Source organism: Homo sapiens, chromosome 11, assembly GCF_000001405.40.
Source record: "Homo sapiens chromosome 11, GRCh38.p14 Primary Assembly".
NCBI classification, from domain to species: Eukaryota; Metazoa; Chordata; class Mammalia; order Primates; family Hominidae; genus Homo; species Homo sapiens.
This window is the reverse complement of record NC_000011.10, coordinates 3497932-3522111: the sequence shown is the minus strand read 5'-3', so window position 1 is coordinate 3522111 and position 24180 is coordinate 3497932. Positions and strand designations below refer to the sequence as shown.

Here is a 24180-nt window from a genome sequence, read left to right as displayed (position 1 = left end):
CGAGGCAGGTGGGTCACCTGAGGTCAGGAGTTCCAGTCCAGCCAGGCCAACATGGTGAAACCCCATCTCTATAAAAAATACAAAACTTAGCCAGGCGCAGTGGTGGGTGTCTGTAGTCACAGCACTTTGGGAGGCTGAGGCACGAAAATCACTTGAACCCAGGAGGCATAAGTTGCAGTGATCCATGATCATGCCACTGCACTCCAGCCTGGGCAAGAGAGTGAGACTCTGTCTCAAAAAAAAAAAAAAAAATTGTGCTTAATAATAACTTGGAAGTGCACATACCTTCTGTGAAGTTTGATGGACAACAATTAGCTTCAAAACACAAATAAGTAACTGTGTTTAAATGAGGCGTTCTGTGTAATAGCTAGGGAAAATCAACGTAGCTATTCATATTTTGATTCCCCTTCCAGGCACAGAGAAGTTGCCCATGTCTCTGTGATCTGTTTTGTCCAATGAACCATGAGCAAGAGCAACTTGAGTCACCTCCAGGTGGAAGTGTTAAGAGGCTGTGTGATCCACCACATTCCCTTTCCCCTGAAGTGGTGATCAAGGACACATGCAGAGATGGGGCTTCTGTCAGCCTGGATCCCTGAGTGAACACAATGAACAGACCACCCCACAATGCACTAACACAGCCCAGACATGCAACGTGACCAAGAATAAGCCTCACTGTGGCCAGGCATGGTGGCTCATGCCTGTCATCCCAGCACTTTGGGAGGCCAAGGCAGGTGGATCATTTGAGGTCAGGAGTTCAAGACCAGCCTGGCTAACATGGTGACATCCTGTCTCTACTAAAGTACAAAAATTAGTGAGACAGTAGTGGCATGGGCCTGTAATCCCAGCTACTCAGGAGGCAGGAGAATCACTTGAGTCTGGGAGGCAGAGGTTGCAGTGAGCTGAAGTTGCACCATTGCACTCTAGTCTGGGTGACAGAGTGAGACCCTCTCTCAAAAAACAAACAAACAAACAAACAAAAAATACCCCACTGCATGGATCCACTGAGATTTGGGGATTGTTGTTACTGCACCAGAACCCAAATCATCCTGACTGCTAGACTGTCCCAAGTAGGGTTTCTTACCAAAAGCAAAGGCATTTTTAAAGTTCATGACATTTAAACAAAAGAGCAAATACCAATATCTGCCAGTTTGTCAGGCTAACAAACCCAAACAAAGCCAACAGCCAGAAGTTAAAAGAAACAGATCATTAGATTGAAAACAGAACTGTCAAAACAGGCACAATTGACTTCATTTAGTGATTGCAAAGAACATCAGGCAAGACACAGGTGCGGTCATCATATCATTTATCACATGCTTAATTGCACATGTTTGACTAAGAAAAACACAAAGTATTTAAACTCATCTGTAGTTCAAAGTGCCTATCCATGTATTTATCCATTCATCCTGATTTATTTATTGAGCAACTCTTTTGTGCCAGGCACTGTGCTGGGTGGTGGTAATGCAATGATGAAGATGGCAGACACAGCTCTGCCCTCCAGGAGTTTCTAGGGTAAGGAGGGAGACAAAAAATAAGTAAATCCATGAAAGAAGTATTGATGGAACCTGCCCCCAATATTTCAACGTAGGTTCTTTCTATTTTCCATAAGTGTCAACCAGCCGAGAAATAAAGAGAGACACTGCAAAGAGAGGAATTTTACAGCTGGGCCGCTGGGAGTGACATTACATATCAGTAAGTCTGTGCTGCCTGCTGAGTCTCAGACCAGCAAGTTTTTATTAAGGGTTTCAAAAGGGGAGGGGCTGTAAGAACAGGGAGTAGGTACAAAGATCACATGCTTCAAAGGGCAAAAAGCAGAACTACTACTAAGGGTCTAAGAAAGATCACATGCTTCTGAGGGAACAGGACAAAGGGCAAAAGCAGAACTACTGATAAAGGTCCAGCAAAGATCACAAAGCAAAGGGCAAAAGCAGAACCACTGATAAGGGTCTATGTTCAGTGGTGCACGTATTGTCTTAATAAACATCTTAAACAAAAGAAAACAGGGTTCGAGAGCAAAGAACCAGTCTGACCACAAATTTACCAGGGCAGAGTTTTTCCCCACCCTAGTAAGCCTTTGGGTACTGCAGGAGACCAGGGCGTATCTCTGTCCTTATCTCAACTGAATAAGACAGACATTCCCAGAGCGGCCATTTATAGACCTCCCCCCAGGAATGCATTCCTTTCCCAGGGTATTAATATTAATATTCCTTGCTAGGAAAAGAATTTAGCAATATCTGTCCTACTTGCACGTTCATTTATAGACTCTGTGCAAGGAGAAACATATGGCTCTTTTTGCCCAACCCTGCAGGAAGTCAGACCTTATGGTTGTCTTCCCTTGTTCCCTAAAAATTGCTGTTATTCTCTTCTTTTTCAAGGTTCACTGATTTCATATTGTTGAAACACACATGTTTTACAATCAATTTGTACAGTTAACACAATTATCACAGTGGTCCTGAGGTGATGTACATCCTCAGGTTATGAATATAACAGGATTAAGAGATTAAAATAAAGACAGGCATAAGAAAATATAAAAGTATTATTTGGGAACTGATAAATGTCCATGAAATCTTCACAATTTATGTTCCTCTGCCACAGCTCCAGCCAGTCCCTCCATTTGGGGTCCCTGAGTTCCCACAACAAGAAATAATGAGGTTAAGGTGGAGACGAGCAGGGAAGTCCACTTTATAAAGGGGTTAGGAAAGAGCTGTCTGGAAGCACCATTTTAGCTGAGACCTAAAGGATGGTCTAATTTGGGGAGGTGCAGAGGAAAATCATTCCAGGCTGAAGCAGCAAATGCAAAGGCCCAGTAGTGGAGAAAGGTTTGAAAGTCGAAGACAACAAAAGGAGGACAGAGTGGCTGAAATAGAGTAGGCCAAGGGGAGGAGATAGGAGAGAGCTGGAGAGATGGTAGGAACAGGCAGAAGACTCGGGGTCTCGATTTTATTCTATGTGCCATGGGCAGGAAAGAGACTCAATGGACACCTTAAGATCACTGAAGCTGCTAGGTAGGAAATGGATTGCTGAGCATGGAGAGCAGGTGCAGAGGACCAGTTAAGACCAGTTAGGAGGCTGCCGCTGTAGCCCAGCTGGGATAGCGGTGTCCTAGGCAAAGATAATGACAGTGAAGATAGAGAGAGTGGACAAGTTGGATAAAGTTTAGAATCAGAGGACTTCTGACTGGAGAAGAGGGCAAAAGTAGAGTTAGCACAGCACATGAGTTATGACTACCTTGAGCAGCTCAGCAGGGGGTGGAGCCATTTACAGAACAGAGATGGCACGGACAGAGCCCATGGAGAAGGAGGAGGAAAAAGAGTTTTGATTTTGTTTTTTTTTTAAGACAGGGACTCTGGCTCTGTCACCCAGGCTGGAGTGCATTGGTGCAATCATAGCTCTTTGCAGCCTCAAACTCCTGGGCTCAAGTGATCCTCCTGCCTCAGCCTGCCATGTAACAGGACTACAGATCCTACAGATGCACTTCACCATGCCTATCTTTTTTTTTTTTTTTATTTTTTTTTTATAGTTAGGGAGTCTCACTGTGTTTTCCAAGCTGGCTTCAAACTCCTGACCTCAAGTAATCCTCCCACCTCAGCCTCCCATAGCACTGGCATTACAGCCATCACCTACCACTCCAAGCCATGAGTTTGGCTTTGGATTTAACAAGGTTGAGGTTTTCATGAGTTGACAAGTGGAAAAAACAAGAAAGAAGTTGAGTGTTTAAGACTGCTGTTTGAAGGAGAAGTCTAGCCTCAAGACAAAAGTTCAGGACTCATCAGCTGAGAAATGGCACTGAAAATTATGCAAATGGATGAGCTCAGCTAGCAAACAAGTCCAGAGAGAGCAGAAAGTCCAGAGAGAGCAGCACTGGGCTATGCACCTGGCCTAATGCCACCCCGCTCCTCCCAATCCCTGTGTTATGCTGGAGAGGGTTCAGCCTCTGGTGAGTTTCACCAAACCCCCACATCTCTTTCTTCTGAGACCTTCTCTAAAATCCCCTCTTTTATACTTAGTCAAATGGGATTCTCTTTTTCCCATCCAGCTTCAGCAAAAACTTTTGACTATGAGAAGAATGAGGATGCATTTAGTATCTGTTCTGCATGGCTAATTCCATCAAAGATTTCTCATTATTCATGCCTGGCAGTCTCATTTTCTTCTTTTGCCTCTAAGAGCACAGTCGTAGCCTTAATTACTGACCTTTTCACCCTTCTAATACCAGCGATTTCCCCCATCTCAGTTCTCAGGAATTTCTGTTCGCAGAATTATCTCCTATATCTCCTATTAAAAAATACAAAAATTAGCCAGGTGTGGTGGCAGGTGCCTGTAATCCCAGCTACTTGGGAGGCTGAGGCAGGAGAATTGCTTGAACCCAGGAGGCAGAGGTTGTGGCAAACAAAGATTGCAACACTGCACTCCAGCCTGGGCAACAGTGAGACTTTTTCTCACCAAAAAAAAAAAAAAAAACCTAGAGATGTCCATCCAGGCTAAAGAGAATATTCCAGAGCAGAGGTTGGGACACTATGGCCCATGGGCCAAATCTGACCTGCCTGCACATGTTTTTGTCAATAAAGTTTTATTGAAACACAGCCATGTCCATTTGCTACATATTGTCTATGGCTGCTGGATTAGGCTGTTCTCTCATGCTATAAAAAATACCTGAGACTGGGTAATGTATAAAGAAAAGAGGTTTAATTGGCTCACAGTTTTGTAGGCTGTACAGGGAGCATGACACTGACATCTACTGAGCTTCTGTGGAGGCCTCAGGAAACTTACAATCATGGCAGAAGCTGAAGTGGGAGCAAGAGAGTAAGGAGGGAGGTGCTACACACTCGTAAACAACCAGATCTTGCAAGAACTCACTCACTGTTGCAAGGACAGGACCAAAAGGATGACGCTAAATCATTCATGAGAAATCCACCCCCGTGATCCAATCTCTTCCCACCAGGCCCCACCTCTAACACTGGGGATTACATTGCAACATGAGATTTGGGAGGGGACACATATTCAACCTATATCAGCTGCTTTCATTCTATGGGTGACAGAGTTGAGTAACTACTACAAGAGACTGTATGGCCCACGAAGTCTAAAATATTTACTATCTATCTGATGCTTTCAAGTAAAAGCTTGCAAACCCTGCTCTTGAAAAGGGAGGGAAGGAAGAGGAGAGGAGGAAGGCAGGAAGGAGCAGAGAGGGACACGGGGCTGTATTCAAACATCTGTTGTTAAGAAAGAGAAATTCAATTTATTTGGCATGGTCCAAGTTATCAAACTAGGAGCACTCCATTGAAGTTTCAGGACAAACACTGTGCTGAATATAAGGATGACCCCATCTGTAATGCCTAACCTTGTTTTTATTAACTTTGTTCGTAGACTTTCCTTTTCTTTTATTCCCTTAGCCTTGTTTCTACCTGAATTGACTTTCTTTTAGCTAAGAGAGCTAGACAGACTTTATCTTGGCTTTTTCACTGGCAGCCCCTTCCTCAAGGACTTAACTTGTGCAAGCTGACTCTTAGCACATCTAAGAGTGCAATTAACTGATAAGATACTGTGGCGAGCAATATCCGCAGTTCCCAGGAATTTGTCCGATTGATAATGCCTAAAGCCCCACGTCTATCACTTTGTAATAGTCTTAAAGCCCTTAGACCTAGATCTGTTTACTTTCCTGTAACAATTTATCCTTTTAACTTTTTTGCCTACTTTACTTCTGTAAAATTCTTTTAACTACACCCCTTTCCCCTTTCTAAACTGAAGTATAAAAGAAAATCTAGCCCCTTCTTCGGGGCCAAGAGAACTTTAAGAGTTAGCCATCTCTTGGCCACCAGCTAAATAAACAGACTTAATTCATGTCAAATTGTGGCATTTTCTCTAACTCGCTCAAGTACAACATTTGGAGGCCCGAGTGAGAAACACCACCAGGCGAGAGCCGGGCTCGCTCCGGGCTCCCCCGGAAGGACGGCCGGCTTGTAGGGGGGGTGTCACCTAAAAAAAAATTTTCAGGTCCCCGAAAGGTGACCGTCTTCCAGAGGAGAGCGGATCGACTACCGTGTGGGTGCCCATAAAAATTCCACCTCTGAGTCCTCGACTTCTGACCCCGAGGTCAGGTAGGTCAGATTTGACTTCAGTTCTTGTAAGAGGGAAGCGGCCCTGATGAGGGTGTCCCTCTTTTGACTCTGCCCGTTTCTCTAGGACGCTGGAAGGTAGAGCCCTGGTTTTCTGTTAGGCACTTCTGTGTCTCTTTCTAGGAGGGAAGTAGCCCTGACAGGGGACCTCCCTTGACTCAGTCCACATCCCAGGATGCTGGAGGACTGAGTCCTGGTTTCTGGCAGACCGGTCACTCTCTCTCTCTCTTTTTCTATCTCTCATCTTTCTCTTGTTCAAGTTTCTTGAAGAATCTCCAAGAAAGAAAAAAAACTGTTATAAACTCTTTGTGAATAATGAATGAATGAGGGAGGACAAGGGCTTGCGCTTGTCCTCCAGTTTGTAGCTCCACAGCGAAAGCTACGGAGTTCAAGTAGACCCTCACCTGCGGTTCCATGGCGACCTCATAAGGCTTAAGGCAGCATCAGGCATAGCTCGATCTGAGCCGGAAGTTTATACCGGCCTGCCAATGCTAAGAGGAGCCCAAGTCCCCTCACGGGGAGCGGCCAGGCAGGCATCTGACTGATCCCATCGCTGGATCCCCTCCCCTTGTCTGTCTAAAAAAAAAAAAAGGAAGAAACTCTCGTAACTGTTTACATGCCCTAAAGTCAATTGTTTGTTTTATGTTGACTGTTCTGTTCAGTGTCTATTGTCTTGTTAGTAGTTGTGAAAGTTTTCATGTCAAGACGTTGATATTGCCCAAGACGTCTAAGTAAAAACTTCTTCAAAGTCCTTAGTGCTGATTTTTTGTCACAGGAGGTTAAATTTCTCATCAATCATTTAGGCTGGCCACCACAGTCCTGTCTTTTCTGCCAGAAGCAAGTCAAGTGTTGCTACAAGAACAAGTGTGAAAAACATTTGCCTGATTACGATTTCTAGCACCATGAAAGTTGTAAGTATTTAGATCGTCATACTCCACGTCCAAGTGATTAGACGTCCTCTAAACTAAACCAGTAGTGAGTTCAAAACAGCCACCCTGCAGATCTCCTCACTCACCTCTTTTGTCATTCTGTAACTTTTCCTGTGCCCTTAAGTAGAACACTGTGTAAAGAAATGTACGCCCGTACTGCTTTACTTCGTTTAGATTCTTACTCTGTTCCTCTGTGGCTACTCTCCCACCTTAAAAGTGATCCGAGTAGTCCTTTTCCACCTTGTCCCTGCCCCCTACCCCGCACATCTCCTTTTCCGGTGAGACAGCAAGTTCTGCGTCTCCAGGACTTGGCTCTGCTCTCACTCCTTAAACCCTTAAAAGAAAAAACTAAGTTTAAGCTATTTGCCTTTAAGTCATAAAGACACCAAAAGTATTTAAAGTGCAGATCTAGAAGAAGAAGAACGCCTAGATCAAACTGACCCAGAAGATCTCAGGCTGGCTCTAGTCCTCCTCCCTCGATCTTAAAGCTACAGCAATGTAGCAAGTAGTATTAGCTGTTGTAAGTTTTTCTGCTCTTTGTAGTCATGTTGATTCTGTTCTATCACTACTCCAGTCCCCCAAGAAATAAGTTTCTCTGTCCATGCTAAGTTTAATATCAATGCTCAAATCTTATTAAATTGCCTTCAAAAAAAAAAAAAAATAAGAAACACTTCCTCCCAGCCTTATAAAAGTTAAAGCCCTCTCCAATGTATGCTGCAGAATTTTCCTCTCAGTTCCTCAGAGGATTATAAAGTCCGCCTTAAAAAAGGCAGGCTCCAGACACTGTGCAAAATAAAATGGCCAAAGTTTAAAGTCAAGTGGCCCCCTGAAGGGTCATTGAACCTCACAATTGTTCAAGCTGTGTGGCAGGTTGTTACTGAAACTCCTAGCCACCCTGATCAGTTTCCCTACATTGATCAATTGCTAAGTTTAGTCAGGATCCCCCCTCCGTGGCTCCATTCATGCGCCATTCATAATTCTACCTCCCAGGTCCTCCTAAGCCAGACCGCGTTTTCGCCTCGACCCTCAGCCGGTTCAGCTCCCCCTGTACTGCCTCCCTCTGAAGAAGAGGGGAGTCTCCCTCACCCAGTCCCACCGCCTTACAACCAACCTTCTCCCTTAAAGTTATCCCATGTCTCCTCGACGACGTCCCCTGTAGGCTCGCCACCCATTGCCTCTCAATCATGACCGTGGCAGGAAGACGTAGCCCCTCTCCTACCACTGAGAGAGGCACAAGTCCCTCCAGGTGACGAGCGCTCAGCACCCTTCTTAGTTTATGTCCCTTTTTCTACTTCTGACTTATATAATTAGAAAACCCATAATCCTCCCTTCTCTGAAAAGCCCCAGGCTTTGGCCTCTCAGACAGAGTCGGTACTCCGGCCTGACTCACCCACCTAAGATGATTGCCAACAGCTCCTTTTAACCCTTTTCACCTCTGAAAAGAAAGAATGTATCCAAAAAGAAGCCAAAAAGTACTTCCTCACATCAGCCAATGGACCGGAAGAAGAAGCTAGAGACCTCCTTGAGGAGGTCTTTCCCTCTACACGGCCTAACCAGGACCCAAATTCCTCAAGTAGAAAGGGAGCTTTAGACGATTCTCACCGGTATCTCCTCGCAAGTATTAAAAGAGCCTCTCAGAAACCCATCAACTTGTCTAAGACGACCGAAGTTGTCCAAAGGCCCGAGAAGTCACCAAGAAGGTTTTTAGAGCACCTCCAGGAGGCTTATCGGATTTACACCCCTTTTTATCGGATTTACACCCCTTTTGACCCGGCAGCTCCCGAAAATAGCCGTGCTCTTAATTTAGCATTTGTGGCTCAGGCAGCCCCGGATATTAAAAAGAAACTCCAAAAACTAGAAAGATTTGCTAGAATAAATATCAGTCAGCTTTTAGAAATAGCCCAAAAGTTTTTGACAATCAAAAGTTTAAAAAACAAAAGCAACACAGGCAGCTGAAAAGGCCGCTGATAAAGCATTCAAAAGACAAACAAAAATCTTAGTGGCAGCTCTCCAAGAAGTACAGAATGAAATAGCCCGTTAATTCAGCATTAACTGAAGCCCCTGCTTTAGCCCTCTCTAATATCTCCATAAAAGCCAAGGAGTTGCTAAAGACGTGCTTACTCAGACTTTAAGACCCTAAAGATGCCCAGTGGCCTATTTATCTAAGATGCTAGATCCTGTGGCCTGTAGATGGCCAAGTTGTCTGCGAGCCGTAGCAGCTACAGCAAGCCTGGCCCAAGAAGATGATAAGTTAACTCTAAGCCAAAATTTAACCCTTACAGCTCCTCATGCCGTAAAGAACTTACTACAAAATGCTTCTGGCAAATAGATGTCAAATGCTCGCATCTTGCAGTATCAAAATTTACTGTTAGATCAGCCTCGTTTGACTTTCTCTCCCACAAAGTGTTTCAATCCAGCTACACTACTTCCTGACCCAGACTGCACTATTCCTGCTCATGACTGTCAAGAACTGTTAGAAACTATCGAAACTGGCTGATCTGATCTTCAAGCTGTGCCCCTAGAAAAGGCAGATGCCGCCGTGTTCACAGACAGTAGCAGCTTCCTCAAGCAGGAAGTATGAAAAGCCAGTGCAGCTGTTACCACGGAGACAGATGTGTTCTAAGCTCAAGCTTTACCAGCGAACACCTCAGCACAAAAGGCTGAATTGATCACCCTCACTCAGGCTCTCCGATAAAGTAGGATAAACGTATTAACATTTACACTCACAGCAAGTACGCCTTAGCTACTGTGCATGTACATAAAGCCATCTACCAGGAAATCAGGCTACTCACCTCAGCAGGTAGCTGTGATCCACTGCAAAGGACATCAAAAAGAAAACACGGCCGTTGCCCATAGTAACCAGAAAGCTGATTCAGCAGCTCAGGTCGCTGCCAGACTTTCAGTCATGCCTCCAAACTTGCTGCCCACAGTCTCCTTTCCACAGCCAGATCTGCCTGACAATCCCGTATACTCAACAACAACAGAAAAACTGGCTTCAGATCTCAGAGCCAATAAAAATCAGGAAAGTTAGTAGATTCTTCCTGACTCTGGAATCTTCATACCCTGAACTTAAACCAGTTACCTACAGTCTACCACCCATTTAAGAAGAGCAAAGTTACCTCAGCTCCTCCGGAGGCATTTTAAGATCCCCCATCTTCATAGCCTAAGAGATTAAGCAGCTCTCCAGTGCACAACCTGCGCCCAAGTAAATGCCAAACAAAGTCCTAAACCCAGCCCAGGCCACTGTCTCTGAAAAAACTCGCCAAGAAAAAAGTAAGAAATTCAGTTTAGAGAAGTCAAACCACACCAGGCTAAGTACAAATACCTTCTAGTACTAGTAGACACCTTCTCCAGATAGACTAAGGCATTTGCTACCAAAAACGAAACCACCAACACAGTAGTTAAGTTTTTACCCAATGAAATCATCCCTCAATATAGGCTGTCTGCTGCCATAAACTCTGATAATAGACCAGCCTTCCCCTCGCCTATAGCTCAGTCAGTCAGTCAGTAAGGTGTTAAACATTCAACAGAAGCTCCATTGTGCTTATCAACCCCGGAGCTCCAGACAAGTAGAACGCATGAACCACACCCTAAAAAACACTCCTACAAAATTAATCTTAAAAAAACAGTGTAAATTAAGTAAGTCTCCTTCCTTTAGCCCTACTTAAAGTAAGGTGCATCCCTTACCAGGCTAATTTCTCACCTTTTGAAATCATCTATAAGAAGGCGCCACCTATCTTGCCTAAGCTAAGAGATGCCAAATTAGCAGAAATATCACAAACTAATTTGTTACAGTACCTATCGTCTCTCCAACAGGTACAAGATATCATCCTGCCACTTGTTCGAGGAACCCATCCCAATCCAATTACTGACCAAAATCCTGCCATTCCTTCCAGCCAGGAGACCTAGTGTTTGTTAAAAAGTTCCAAAAAGAAAGACCCACTCCTGCTTAGAAAAGACCTCACACCGTCATCGTCACGACGCCAATGGCTCTGAAAGTAGACGGAATTCCTGCTTACATTCATCACTCCCGCATCAAAAAGGCCAACAGAGCCCAACTAAAAACATAAGTCCCCAGGCCTAAGTCAGGCCCCTTAAAACTGCACCTAAGTCAGGTGAAGCCATTAGATTCATTCTTTTTACTACCTCACTTATTTGTTTTTGCCCGTTACATCCTCTGTGCCTTCCTACTCCTTTCTCCTCACCTCTTTCACAACAGGACTTGTATTTGCAAACACCACTTAGAAGGCCGGTACCTCCAAGGAAGTCTCCTTTGCACTTGATTTATTTGTACTGTTCCCAAAGCCAGCCCATACCCAAGAAAAGCAACACCATCTGCCAGTCCCAGGAGCAGGAAGTGTCGACCTTGCAGCAAGATTCAGACACTCCAAGAGCCAAACTAAGTGTAGAAGCTCCAAAAGTGCAGAAAAAAGACTCCAAAATATTGGCTTTTACCTCTGTCCTAGAAATCACCCTGATGCTAGCTGTCAAGATACTTATCAGTTTTTCTGCCCTGATTAGACATGTGTAACTTTAGCCACCTACTCTAAAAGATCAACCAGATCTTCAACTCTTTCCACAAGTCATGCTTCTCATCCTAAATTATGTACTAGAAAAATTGTAATCCTCTTACTATAGCTGTCCATGACCTTAATTCAACTCAATAGTATCATGGCATGTCATGAAGATTAAGATTTTATATCCCAGGATTTAATGTTAGGACTATGTTCACCATCCAAAAAAACCCTAGTCTCATAAAGCCCACCCAAGTCAATCAGGCCTTTTACTGATCTAAGTAACCCTATGTTCCAGGAACACCCTGACAAAGTTGATTCAACTGTTCCTCCACCATTCTTAGTCATAAAAGATACACTCCAGACAGTGCAAGAAAATCTAGATAAGCGCCAACAAGAACAAGAAAATAACATCCCCTAGTATCAAAGCATGTTCAACTAGAACCCAGAGCTAACTATTCTAATTACTAAGTTAGCCAGACCCCCTCCCCATCCTACTATTAAGTCTAATTTTTGGACCTTGTATATTAAATTAGTTTATTAATTTTGTAAAACAACACATAGCTTCTGTCAAACTTATGTATCTTAAGACTCAATATAACCCCCTTGTTATAGCTGAAGAATCAACGATTTGATTCCCCAAAAACACAAGTGAGGAATGTAATGCCCAACCTTCTTTTTACTAACCCTGTTCTAAGACTCTCCCTTTCTTTTAATCACCTAGCCTTGTTTCCACCTGAATTGACTCTCCCTTAGCTAAGAGAGCCAGACAGACTCCATCTTGGCTCTTTCACTGGCAGCCGCTTCCTCAAGGACTTAACTTGTGCAAGCTGACTCCCAGCACATCGAAGAATGCAATTAACTGATAAGATACTGTGGCGAGCAATATCTGCAGTTCCCAGGAATTCATCCAACTGATAACGCCCAAAGCCCCGGGTCTATCACCTTGTAATAGTCTTAAAGCCCCTAGACCTAGAACTGTTTACTTTCCTGTAACAATTTATCCTTTTAACATTTTTGCCTACTTCTGTAAAATTGTTTTAACTAGACCCCCCTCCCCTTTCTAAACCAAAGTATAAAAGAAAATCTAGCCCCTTCTTCGAGGCCGAGAGAACTTTGAACCTTAGCCATTTCTTAGCCGCCGGCTAAATAAACAGACTCTTAATTCGTCTCAAAGTGTGGCATTTTCTCTAACTCGCTCAAGTACAACACAACCAGCAGGCACGTAATCCACTCTAAAATGCCATCCTGGGGTAGTGAAGATGATGTTTCTGGAAATATCCTTAAATGGCATGTGGATGAGTTCCCCCAGAGGCATACATGTTGAGCCAAGTACTTTGCTGATTAAGGGTACAAGTTGAAGGGGTTTTGAAAGGCAGAGTGAGGTTCCTCAGAAGGCTGTTGCTACAGAAAGCCAGGAGGAGAAATTACATGGCCAGATAGAGTGGCATGACCATTGGATAAGGGCTTTTTGTTTGTTTTTGAGATGGAGTTTTACTCTTGTTGCCCAGGCTGGAGTGCAATAGCACGATCTCAGCTCACCGCAACCTACGCCTCCCAAGTTCAAGCGATTCTCCTGCCTCAGCCTCCCTAGTAGCTGGGATTACAGGCATGTGCCACCACGGCCGGCTAATTGTGTATTTTTTGTAGAGATGGGGTTTCTCCATGTTGGTCAGGCTGGTCTTGAACTCCCGACCTCAGGTGATCCGCCCACCTTGGCCTCACAAATTGCTGGGATTATAGGCGTGAGTCACCGTGCCCAGCCTGGATGAGGGTCTTTAGCAAAGATGGAAGTTTTGGTACCTTGCAGTTTAGTCTCTTCATTTGTGTCCTCCTGAAATCTTCAGGAACAGCACCATTTTGTCAATACTCCTGGGGTCGTACTTAGGGGGACTTAAAGGAGATATGATGTGGCAGCCTTTGACTCAAGGGAGTATCATACTAGGTCAAAGAGATCTGGGTACATGTCAGCTGAACCAACTCTTCTGAGGATGTGATAGATCCTGAGAGGCCACTCTGGTCCTGCCAACCTTGAGGCCAGATGAGTCTTTGAAAAACATAGTTTGGCTTAACACCAGCACTTAGTCTAATATCCACCATTAATCTTGCTGAAGTGAAGCTATACAAATACCTTTTCAAAATATTTTTTTTTTTTATTCCAGATCCTTCTTAGAAATTCCTAAGGCTCAATGCTGTGTGGAAGATTCTGAGAAAAAAAATAGTTTCCGATCTTTGGGATTCCCGAGATGGTCCAATCTGCAAAAAGTTCATTGCCATTTCCATCAAGGACACTGAGAACAAGAGTCTTATCTGGATTAGATCCTGGGAATTGAGAAGCTTCAGCAGGTGGGAAATGCACCCTCCACAGGCTCACACCCTTCTGGGTTGTTTCAGTTACCTATTGCACCTAAAATTAGAAACTTTAAACCACCACAAGCCATTATTGCTCATGACCCTGTGAGTTGCATGGGGACTTCCTGGCTGGTTTAACCTGGGCTCATTTGTGTGGCTACCTGCAGCTGGAGGGCCAGCTGGGTGGAACATCCAGGATGGCCTCATGCATGTGCCTGGCAGTTGGTGCTGGTTGTCAGCCGGGGAACCTTGTTTTCCTCCATGTGGCCCCTCGCCCTCCAGAGCCCCTCTCCAAATGGCCCTTTAAGCAGATAGCCAAGGTTTGCTTGGTGCCAGCATGCAAGAGGGCAAAAATATGGAAACTACGAGAGGGCTCTCAAGGCCTAAGACTATTTGCACCCCAAAAATCTGAGGTCTCAGTTAATTCAGAAAGTTTGTTTTGCCAAGGTTGAGAACGCATGCCTGTGACACAGCCTCAGGAGGTCCTGACAACATGTGCTTAAGGTGATAGGGACTCAGCTTGGTTTGATACATTTTAGAGAGACATGAGACATCAATCAATATGTGTATGATGTACATTGGTTCAGTCTGGACAGGCGGGACAACTCCAGGTGAAGGTGAGAAAAGGGGAAGGGTTTTCCAGGTCATAGGTAGTTAAGAGACAAATGGTTGCATTCTTTTGAGTTCCTGATTAGCCTCTCAAATGAGGCAATCAGATATACATTTATCTCAGTAAGCAAAGGGGTGACTGAATAGAATGGGAGGCAGTTTTCCCCTAAGCAGTTCCCAGCTTGACCTTTCTCTTTAGCTTAGTAACTTTTTTTGGGTGGAGGGACAGAGTCTCGCTCTGTTGCCCAGGCTGGAGTGCAGTGGTAAGATCTCGGCTCACTGCAACTTCTAACTCCAGGGTTCAAGCAATTTCCCTGCCTCAGCCTCCCAAGTAGCTGGGATTACAGGCTCCTGCCACCACGCCTGGCTAATTTTCATATTTTTTAGTAGAGATGGGGTTTTGTCATGTTGGCCAGGCTGGTCTTGAACTCCTAACCTCAGGTGATCTGCCCGCATCAGCTTCCCAAAGTGCTGGGATTACAGGCGTGAGCCACCGAGCCCAGCCTAGCTTAGTGATCTTGGCGCCCCAAGGTTTGTTTTCCTTTCACGGCTAGAAGTTGGTCACCATCACTTTGGCAGCATTCCACTGGCCAAAGCAAGTCATAGGCAGCCCAGATTCATGTAGAGGAGTATAAACTCTACCTCTTAAAGGAAAGATTGGTTCAGTTACATTGCAGGAGCATTTGCAGAAAGTTGTACCAATCTTTGGAAACTACCACACACACACACACACACACACACACACACACACACCTTTACATGCAACCCTCCCTTGAGGTGCATCTACTTCCAGGCAGAACTAAAACTTGACAGTACTCGACAGAAGAAAAGTAGTGTCCTAAATGCCAGTTCTCTTCTTACTCAACTTCAGCCTCATTATAAGCAGATTCTAACAGTTTATGTGTCTTGAGAAGCATTTTAATTAATCTTTGGAATTTAAGAATTTCAATTCATAGCAGTAGCCTGTGCATAGGAAATACGCATATTGTTTTTCCTTTCTGATAAATCATGCTGGGGGAACCACAATGTAACTTTTTTTTTTTTTTGAGAAGGAGTCTCACTCTGTTGCCCAGGCTGGAGGGCAGTGGCATGATCTCAGCTCACTACAACCTCCACCTCCCTGGTTCAAGTGATTCTCCTGCCTCAGCCTCCTGAGTAGCTGGGATTACAGGCACACAAGATGGGGTTTCACCATGTTGGTCAGGTTGGTCTCGAACTCCTGACCTCTGATCTGCCTACCTCAGCCTCCCAAAGTGCTGGGATTACAGGCGTGAGCCACCGGCTCATGTATACTGTGACTGTATATTGATTGAAAGTTTCTCTTTTTTTCAAATAATTAACAGGTTTAACAGAATGTATCTCTGATCTATTCCTTTCACTGCAGACATCTATTGCCTTTTCAGCCTAGCAGCCCTCCCCTCTATAGAGACTCACACTTCCTACTCCAGTCATGTGGCTCTCATGGGGGCTGCCATGTTCTCAAATGACTCCACCCCTCTGGCATCAGTTGATTGGTCCAGGGATGAGCATCTGGCCTAAATTGGCCAATCAGAATTCTTCCCTTGAATATTTTTCCAAACTGGAACTAGACCAAGTTAATCATTCTCTGTGATGACAGGAATTGTGTGTAGTGAGAAATACAGCAGCTTTTGTGGCCACGTTTCTTGCCTTATGGAGAAAAGGCTTGAGTAAGAAGAAATTAAGCCAGGATGCAGACAAAGCTAGAGACAGAGATAGAGAGAGAGATCTTGTGGTAAGCCCCTTGGTTTTTATCATTCTAGTACATGCTTGCTACTGCATACTACCAAGACTTTCACCTGAGGGCTTTCTCAAAGTCAGGCATGGAGTACGTCAGAAAAGCCACAGAAGCCGGGCGCAGTGGCTCACTCCTGTAATCCCAACACTGGGAGGCCGAGGCAGGTGGATCACGAGGTCAGGAGTTCGAGACCAGCCTGACCAACATGGCAAAACCCCATCTCTACAAAAAATAAAAAAATTAGCGGGGCATGGTGGCAGGTGCCTGTAATCCCAGCTACTCAGGAAGCCAAGGCAAGAGAATCGTTTGAACCTGGGAGGCAGATGTTGCAGTGAGCAGAGATCATGCCATTGCAGTCCAGCCTGGGTGACAGAGCAAGACTGTGTCTAAAAAAGAAAAAGAAAAAGAAAAAAAAAGCCAGAGAGTTGATGCCCTGGGACCATTCCTCAGCCAGTGACGGATGGGAGCCAGGCTATAAATGCTGCAATATTTTCACCCCCTGGATGGAACAACTTTGAAATGTATTCCACATCACCTCCCAGAGGTCCCCAGTGGGGTCAAATCCTAGTTGCCTGGAGTGGTAAGCTGCTCATTGAAGCCCCCTGTGTGGCCTCCTGCCTTTCCATGAATCAATTCCTCACTCCCCTATTGGTGTTCCCTGGAATCATCTCCTAAATAATCCACTTGCAATCCTGTCCCTCTTTCAGGATCTGCTTGGGGTTGGGGTTGGGGAGTGCAGAGAAAAACATGATCCCTTCTCCACTCCACACTAGTAAGATGAGTTTCTGTCACTGGCAACCAAGAGTTCTGACTATTACCTCCTTCTGAGAGAATTCCTAAAATGTATTTGGGAATTTCCCCACCTCCACCCCACTGCCTATGTCATCAATATGTAGATTTCTTAACCAAGTTTAATGGTATTCTTTGATCAACCTCAAGTTTCACAAAACACACTGCACTTTCATAAGGGCTCCCCATGGCTGACAGATCAGCCGTTCAAAAGAAGGGAAGTGTCAGAGATGGCTCTGCTAGACTCACGTATTTTTCAGTAGAATCTGGGTCAGGTTGTTGTGGTCAGGAGATGCTTCTGGAGCTCTGGGACCCACAAGCCTGCGTGTCATGGTGGAGTATTAGGACAACTTGAAAACACAGTGGCAGGAGGAGGCTTCCTCTCTCCCCTGCAGTTCATCCTCCACCACACCCAAAGTGCTAAATAGATATTGGTTAAATGAATAATGGGGCTGGGCATGGTGGCTCACGCCTGTAATCCCAGCACTTTGGGAGGCTGAGGCAGGTGGATCACCTGAGGTCAGGAGTTCAAGACCAGCCTGGCCATAGAGGCAGGAGAAGCACTTGAACCTGGGAGGCAGAGTTTACAGCAGGCTGAGATGGTACCACTGCACTCCAGCCTGGGTGACAGAGCAAGACTCAAAAAAAAAAAAAAAATGGATTTATTCCTTCCAAACTGGAACTCACCAAAAGAAGACCAACACGCATCACAATGTTGTGGCCATAATCACCACAGTGACAATAATAAATATAACCAACTCTCGAGCCAGCCACCCCCACTAAACCTAGTGGATCACATCTGGTGTTTCACTTTGGGGATATTTTAGTGGTCATGGTAGATTGTCGCCTGACTGCTGGCTGTTTCTACCATGTTTCAGGAATATAGAGATGTGTACAGATGACCCCTAAAATTAATTAGTATGCAATTCTCAAAGAGCCAAACTGTACCCCAAAAACTACTGGAATGAAAAAAAAAGTTTTAATTCTCAAAGAGACAAACTAGATAGTAGAAGCATTTATGTTCCCTTGGAGAATCTTCCCACCAAGGACTCAAAGTTGTCTCCAGACCAGGGAAGTCCTGGGGCCTTGGACTTTCCCAATTCTGGTATCATCTCCCATTCTCCTTTAGGTCCAGTTTTCTCAGAGGGGCATGCATTGTTCATTGCCACCAAGGGTATACAAGGACACAAACTGAAGATAATAGTGCCTTATTGTCTCTCAGTCATCTTTCTCTCCCACATGCTGGAAGGAGAGCCAAGTCCAATTTATCCAATTACAAAATAGCAACATTGGCATCATGAGATCAGCTAACACAACTTTCGAGGCAAACTATCTTCCTACCAAAAGTAACCAACATCTGTGGAGCACTTACCATGACTAAGGGTCAACATAAGTGGTTTGCATGCTGCATGCATCAGGATGGACTAGGTTATGCTGCAGTAACAAATTAACCCCAGAGTCTCAACAGCTTAGCAACCAAGGTTGATTTCTTACATTCCATGTCCACAATGGGTTGGCTGGGTATGGTGTGTTCCATATGGCCACTCAGAGACCTAGAATGATGAAAATTCTACCATCTTCATGCAAGGATTCTCCCATAGTTACTACACCAGGAGATGAGAGAATGAGATAGTTATTCCCAAGCCCTCAAAAGCTGTAGAATAGAGGTGATGTCAGTGACTTCCACTTATAGAGCATTGGACCCTGGCATGGATCCATCTAACTACAGGGGGTCTGGGGAATACAGGGAGAACCTGGAAATCCCATGAGCAGTAACCATTTCTGCCAGCATGCATTATTTCATCTGACCCTCACAACCCCATGGAATATAGAACAGAGGCTTGGAGAGTTATGGGACCTGCCCCAAGGCGTCACAGATAATGAGTTGCAGAGCTGAGATATGGCCCTCGGCCTGGCAGGATTCAAACCACTATGCTGCATACTCATCACAAAATCCTATGAAATTCCTCATACAGCAAAACACCACACCAAGTAAAAAGAAAGCCAAGTTGTGCAAATATAAAATAGAACTGCCCTGACACTTCACCTCCTCACCCACCCCACGCCCACCGAAAGAATCAACCTACACAAATAACTGGAATGAAATTCTCAGGCAATTCCAGCAGGGGAAATGGGGTTATCTCATCTGGGTCTCACATCCGACCTCGTCAAGACAAGACCTTCCCTAAACTTCACCTGAACACACCGTCATGTCTTGCCGCTTCTTGTTACTGGAAATCCAATGATGATGTCTTTATACAATTTATAGGTCTTTCTATAAGTGCCAAGATAAATGTCATCTCTGTACCTGCATATCATTCAGAGGTAGGCAAGCTTCTATGTAAAGTGCTAGATAGTAAATATAAACTTTGCAGGACTCATCTGATCTCCATCCTATACATTTTTTTGTTTTTGTTTTACAATTTTTTTTTTCTTTTTAGATAGGGTCTAAAAAGAAAACAAAACTTATCCATGTTGTGATATGGATGAACGTTAAAAACATGCTCAGTGAAAGAAGCAGACATGAAAGGTCATATATTGTACAATTCCATTTATATGCAATGTTCAGTCTAAGCCAATCGACAGAGATAGAAAGTAGATGAGAGGCTTCCAGGGGCTGCAGGAGGGGGTAGGCAGAGTGACTGCTGAATGGATATGAGGCTTCCAATTGAGGTGTTGAAAAAAACCTGAAACTAGGTAGTGGTGATAATTGCACAACATGATAAATGTACAAAATGTCACGGAATTGTACACTTTCAGATGCACAAAATGGTAAATGTTGCATATATTATACCACAGTTTTATTCATTTATTTTAGAGATAGAGTCTCACTCCATCACCCAGGCTGCAGTGCAATGGCAAAATCATAGCTCACTGCTGCCTTTACCGCCTGGGCTCAAGCAATCCTCCCATCTAGTCTTCCAAGTAGCTGGGACTACATGTGAATGCTACTACACCCAGCTTTTTAAATTTTTTTATAGAGTTGCATTCTCACTTTATTGCCCAGACTGGCCCAAACTCCTGGCTTCAAGTGATTCTCTCATCTCACCCTCCCAAAGTGCTGGGATAACAGGTGTAAGCCATCAGGCCAGGCAATTTTTAATTCTTATGCGAAATTTTCAAATAATTCCTAGGACTAAAAAAAATGTCGATCAACATGAGGATTAGAGGAAAAAATAATTTTAAACAAAGAAAAAATTAAATGAGATGATGTGTATGTATACAGAGCCTGGCCTCATGATCACCGAGTCCACTGCAGCTTTTTATTTTTTTTTCCATACAGGGTCTCACTCTGTCACCCAGGCTGAGTACAGTGGCATAATCATGGCTTACTGCAGCCTCAAACTCCTGGGCACAAGTGATCCTCCCACCTCAGCGTCTCAAGTAGCTGGGACTACAGAGGCACACAACCACACCTAGCTATATTTGTTGTTGTTGTTATATTTTTTGGTAGTGACGGGGTCTCACCATGTTGCCCAGGCTGGCATCTTGAACTCCTGGGCTCAAGCGATCCTCCCACCTCAGCTTCCCAAAGTGCTGGGATTACAGGTGTGAGCCACCATGCCCATCCTGTTGTAGCTATTTTAATAGTGCTGGTGAACAATAATTTGCTCTCCCTATAAAAACAGAACATACTAAGCCAAGGAAAGCACCAATCTAGTTTGTTCTCCCCAGATCTTGAAATGTTGGAATTAGTATAAGAGTCCAAAATATTTCATGTGGTTTGATTTTTTTTTTTTTTTTTTTTTTTTTTTTTTTTTTTTTTTGGAGATGCAGTCTCGTTCCATTGTCCAGGTCAGAATGCAGTGGCGCAATCTCGGCTCACTGTCACCTCCGCCTCCCGGGTTCAAGCGATTGTCCTGCCTCAGCCTCCCGAGTAGCTGAGATTACAGACATGTACTGCCACGCCTGGCTAATTTTTGCATTTTTAGTAGAGATGGGGTTTCTCCATGTTGGCCAGGCTGGTCTTGAACTCCTGACCTCAAATGATCTACCTGCCTTAGCCTCCCAAAGTGCCGGGATTACAGGTGTAAGCCACCATGCCCGGCCAGTTTGATTTTTTATTGTGGTAAAATACATACAAAATCTATTATTTCAGCCATTTTCAAAGGAAAAATTCAGTGGTGTTAAGTGCATCCACCACATTGTACAGCCATGACCCCCATCCATCTCCAGAACGCTTTCATACTGTCCTGCAAATATGCAGCACCTTGCTACACTCCAGGTTGTTTGTCCCACAACAGAGCTGGGCTGAATTATTAATGTGACTTTGTTCAACAACGGACTAAAGAGGGAGAAGCCCATGAACTGCGTGAGGAGTGCATGACAGGTGCTCGTGGGATAACATGGCTCGGCGCCCTCCAGCTGCTGCTACCGCTGCCTGTCCTGCTGGGCGGCCACCTCCTCCCAGGGAAGAAGAGCACTCACAACTGCTGCTGATCTCCTTCCAGGGCTTCCGCTGGGACTAGGATCAGGATGTGGACACCCCCAACCTGGACCGTCTGGCCGGGGAGGGCGTCAAGGCCAAGTACCTCATGCCGCCCCTTGTCACAATGACCTCCCCATCCCACTTCACTGCCATCCCAGGTAAGCGTCACTCTGCCCATTTCACCCAATGCCCATCAAAGCCCCAGCGTCCGTCATTCCCTATGATAAGAAGCAAAAGCTCGGTCAGCTCTAGAGAAGCTGAGGCGGCTCCAGGGTCTCACTCTGTTGCCCAGGCTGTAGCTCAGTGGCATAATCACAGGTCAGTGGAGCCTCAAACTCCTGGTCTCAAGCAGTCCTCCCTAGCTCAGGCTCCCCAGTAGCTGGGGCTACAGACAAGCCACAGTGTCTAATTTTCTCATTTTCTTAGAAATTGGGGCAGGGGGTGTCTCACTATGTTGTCTGGGCTGGTTTTGAACTCCTGGCCTCAAGTGATCATCCCACCTCAGCCTCCCAAAGTGCTGAGATTGGAGACATGAGCTACCGTGCCTGGCCTGAACTTTTTTAAAAAAGTAAATAAGGCCAAGCATGGTGGCTCACCCCTGTAATCCCAGCACTTTGGGTGGCTGAGGTGGGTGGATCACCTGAGGTCAGGAGTTCAAGACCAGCTTGGCCAACAAGGTGAAACGTCATCTATCCTAAAACTACAAAAATAAGCTGGGCGTGGTGGCAGATGCCTATAACCACAGCTACTCGGGAGTCTGATACAGGAGAATCACTTGAACCCAGGAGGTGGAATATGAAGTGAGCCGAGATCATGCCATTGCACTCCAGTTTGGGCAACAGAACAAGATTTTGTCTCAAAAAAAATAATAAAAATAAAAAGTTAAATAACTAAAATCACTTTTAAATAACTATAAAAATAATAAAACACTGACATTTACAGAGCTCAGTTAGATGAGGTGACTCATACCCTCCAATGGTGTCCTGGTTCTCTTACATAACAATTGAAATGTCTTTCTGTGGCCCAAAAGATCCCACACAGCCTGGCCCCTGGCCCATCTTCTGCCAGCCTCTCTCATCTCTCTCCCTCTCCTTCACTTCCTTCCGGATCACAAAGGCCTTTTGCCTGTGCCTTCTGCCCTGCTCCCTCCAGCCCCAGGGCCTTGCTTATCCTCTGCTCATCCAGTCCCTCCAGCTCACCAGGAGCATGCAGTCCAGTCGGGGAGACAGACACCAGACACCCAAACAGGCACATACATCCCGTGACAACTCAGGAGGCATCAAGGAGGAAAACGAGTTTTCCAGGCACTGACTACAGGGGTAAACTGGCTTCAAACTAGAGAGGGAGAAAGGGGGTCTCTGAGCATGGGGCAGTTGAGCTGAAAGAGATCTCAGGGGACCAGAGCAAGCAAAAGTGTTCCAGGCAGAGGGAAGAGCATGCGTGAGGTCTCTGAGACAAAGACCTGGTCATTTCAGAATCCCAGTGGCCACTAAAATAGAGGGATTCCAACCTAAAAAGGAGGAAGAGGAGGCTGCTGGAAAGCAAAGTACTCTGTGTAAGAATCATAATAGTGGGGGTGGAGCCAAGATGGCCGAATAGGAACAGCTCCAGTCTACAACTCCTGGCATGAGAGACGCAGAAGACAGGTGATTTCTGCATTTCCAACTGAGGTACTGGGTTCATCTCACTGGGGAGTGTCAGAATGTGGGTGCAGGACACTTGGTGCAGTGCACCGAGCATGAGCCCAAGCAGGGCGAGGCATTGCCTCACCTGGGAAGTGCAAGGGGTCAGAGAATTCCCTTCCCTAGTCAAAGAAATGGGTGACAGATGGCACCTGGAAAATCGGGTCACTCCCACCCTAATACTGCACTTTTCCAATGGTCTTAACAAGTGGCACACCAGGAGATGATATCCCGCACATGGCTCAGAGGGTCCTAAACCCATGGAGCCTCACTCATTGCTAGCACAGCAGTCTGAGATCAAACTGCAAGGTGGCAGCAAGGCTGGGGGAGGGGTGCCCACCGTTGCCTAGGCTTCAGTAGGTTAACAAAGCAGCTGGGAAGCTCCAACTGGGTGGAGCCCACCACAGCTCAAGGAGGCCTGCCTGCGTCTGTAGACTCCACCTCTGGGGGCGGGCATTGGCAAACAAAAGGCAGCAGAATTCTCTGCAGACTTAAATATCCCTGTCTGACAGCTTTGAAGAGAGTAGTGGTTCTCCCAGCACACAGCTGGAGATCTGAGAATGGACAGACTGCCTCCTCAAGTGGGTCCCTGACCCCCGAGTTTCCTAACTGGAGGCACCCCCCTGTAGGGGCAGACTGACACCTCACATGGCCGGGTACTCCTCTGAGACAAAACTTCCAGAGGAACAATCAGGCAGCAACATTTGCTGCTCACCAATATCCGCTGTTCTGCAGCCTCCACTGCTGACACCCAGGCAAACTCCAACAGACCTGCAGCTGAGGGTCCTGACTCTTAGAAGGAAAACTAACAAAGAGAAAAGACATCCACATTAAAACCCCATCTGTAAGTCACCATCATCAAAGACCAAAGATGGGGAAAAAACTGAGCAGAAAAACTGGAAATTCTAAAAATCAGAGTGCTTCTCCTCCTCCAAAGGAATGCAGCTCCTCACCAGCAATGGAACAAAGCTGGACAGAGAATGACTTTGACGAGTTGAGAGAAGAAGGCT

The 24180-nt window shown here is 45.3% G+C and overlaps 2 long non-coding RNA genes and 1 pseudogene across 4 annotated transcripts in view, besides 2 other annotated features; 2 read left to right on the top strand and 1 right to left on the bottom strand.

The window, feature by feature from the left end:
• Positions 1-14132, top strand: part of LOC101927708 (uncharacterized) — a 64008-nt gene extending 49876 nt beyond the window's left edge. Inside the window, exons 2-3 of the long non-coding RNA NR_126335.1 lie at positions 6914-7021; positions 13716-14132. This is a non-coding gene — a long non-coding RNA (uncharacterized LOC101927708). The remainder of the gene's footprint in view (positions 1-6913; positions 7022-13715) is intronic.
• On the bottom strand, positions 1287-10723 carry LOC107984301 (uncharacterized). Of its 3 annotated transcripts, XR_007062557.1 has the most exons (3): positions 10365-10723; positions 9832-9993; positions 1287-6686 (listed from the first exon to the last, which is right to left on the bottom strand). It is a non-coding gene; the product is annotated as an uncharacterized LOC107984301 (long non-coding RNA). The 3 variants fall into 3 exon arrangements; XR_007062556.1 differs by having other exon boundaries at positions 9832-10723; XR_001748098.3 differs by having other exon boundaries at positions 1287-1504; positions 9832-10723.
• Positions 9219-9719: an enhancer, noted in NCBI's record as "OCT4-NANOG-H3K4me1 hESC enhancer chr11:3533623-3534123 (GRCh37/hg19 assembly coordinates)". NCBI's record gives its function as "activates a minimal SCP1, AML or CMV promoter by ChIP-STARR-seq in naive H9 embryonic stem cells {active_cell/tissue: H9 hESC(naive)}" and the evidence as "EXISTENCE:reporter gene assay evidence [ECO:0000049][PMID:30033119]".
• Positions 9720-10220: an enhancer, noted in NCBI's record as "OCT4-NANOG-H3K4me1 hESC enhancer chr11:3533122-3533622 (GRCh37/hg19 assembly coordinates)". NCBI's record gives its function as "activates a minimal SCP1, AML or CMV promoter by ChIP-STARR-seq in naive H9 embryonic stem cells {active_cell/tissue: H9 hESC(naive)}" and the evidence as "EXISTENCE:reporter gene assay evidence [ECO:0000049][PMID:30033119]".
• The window catches only part of ENPP7P15 (ectonucleotide pyrophosphatase/phosphodiesterase 7 pseudogene 15), a 70864-nt pseudogene continuing 68174 nt past the window's right edge, over positions 21491-24180 (top strand).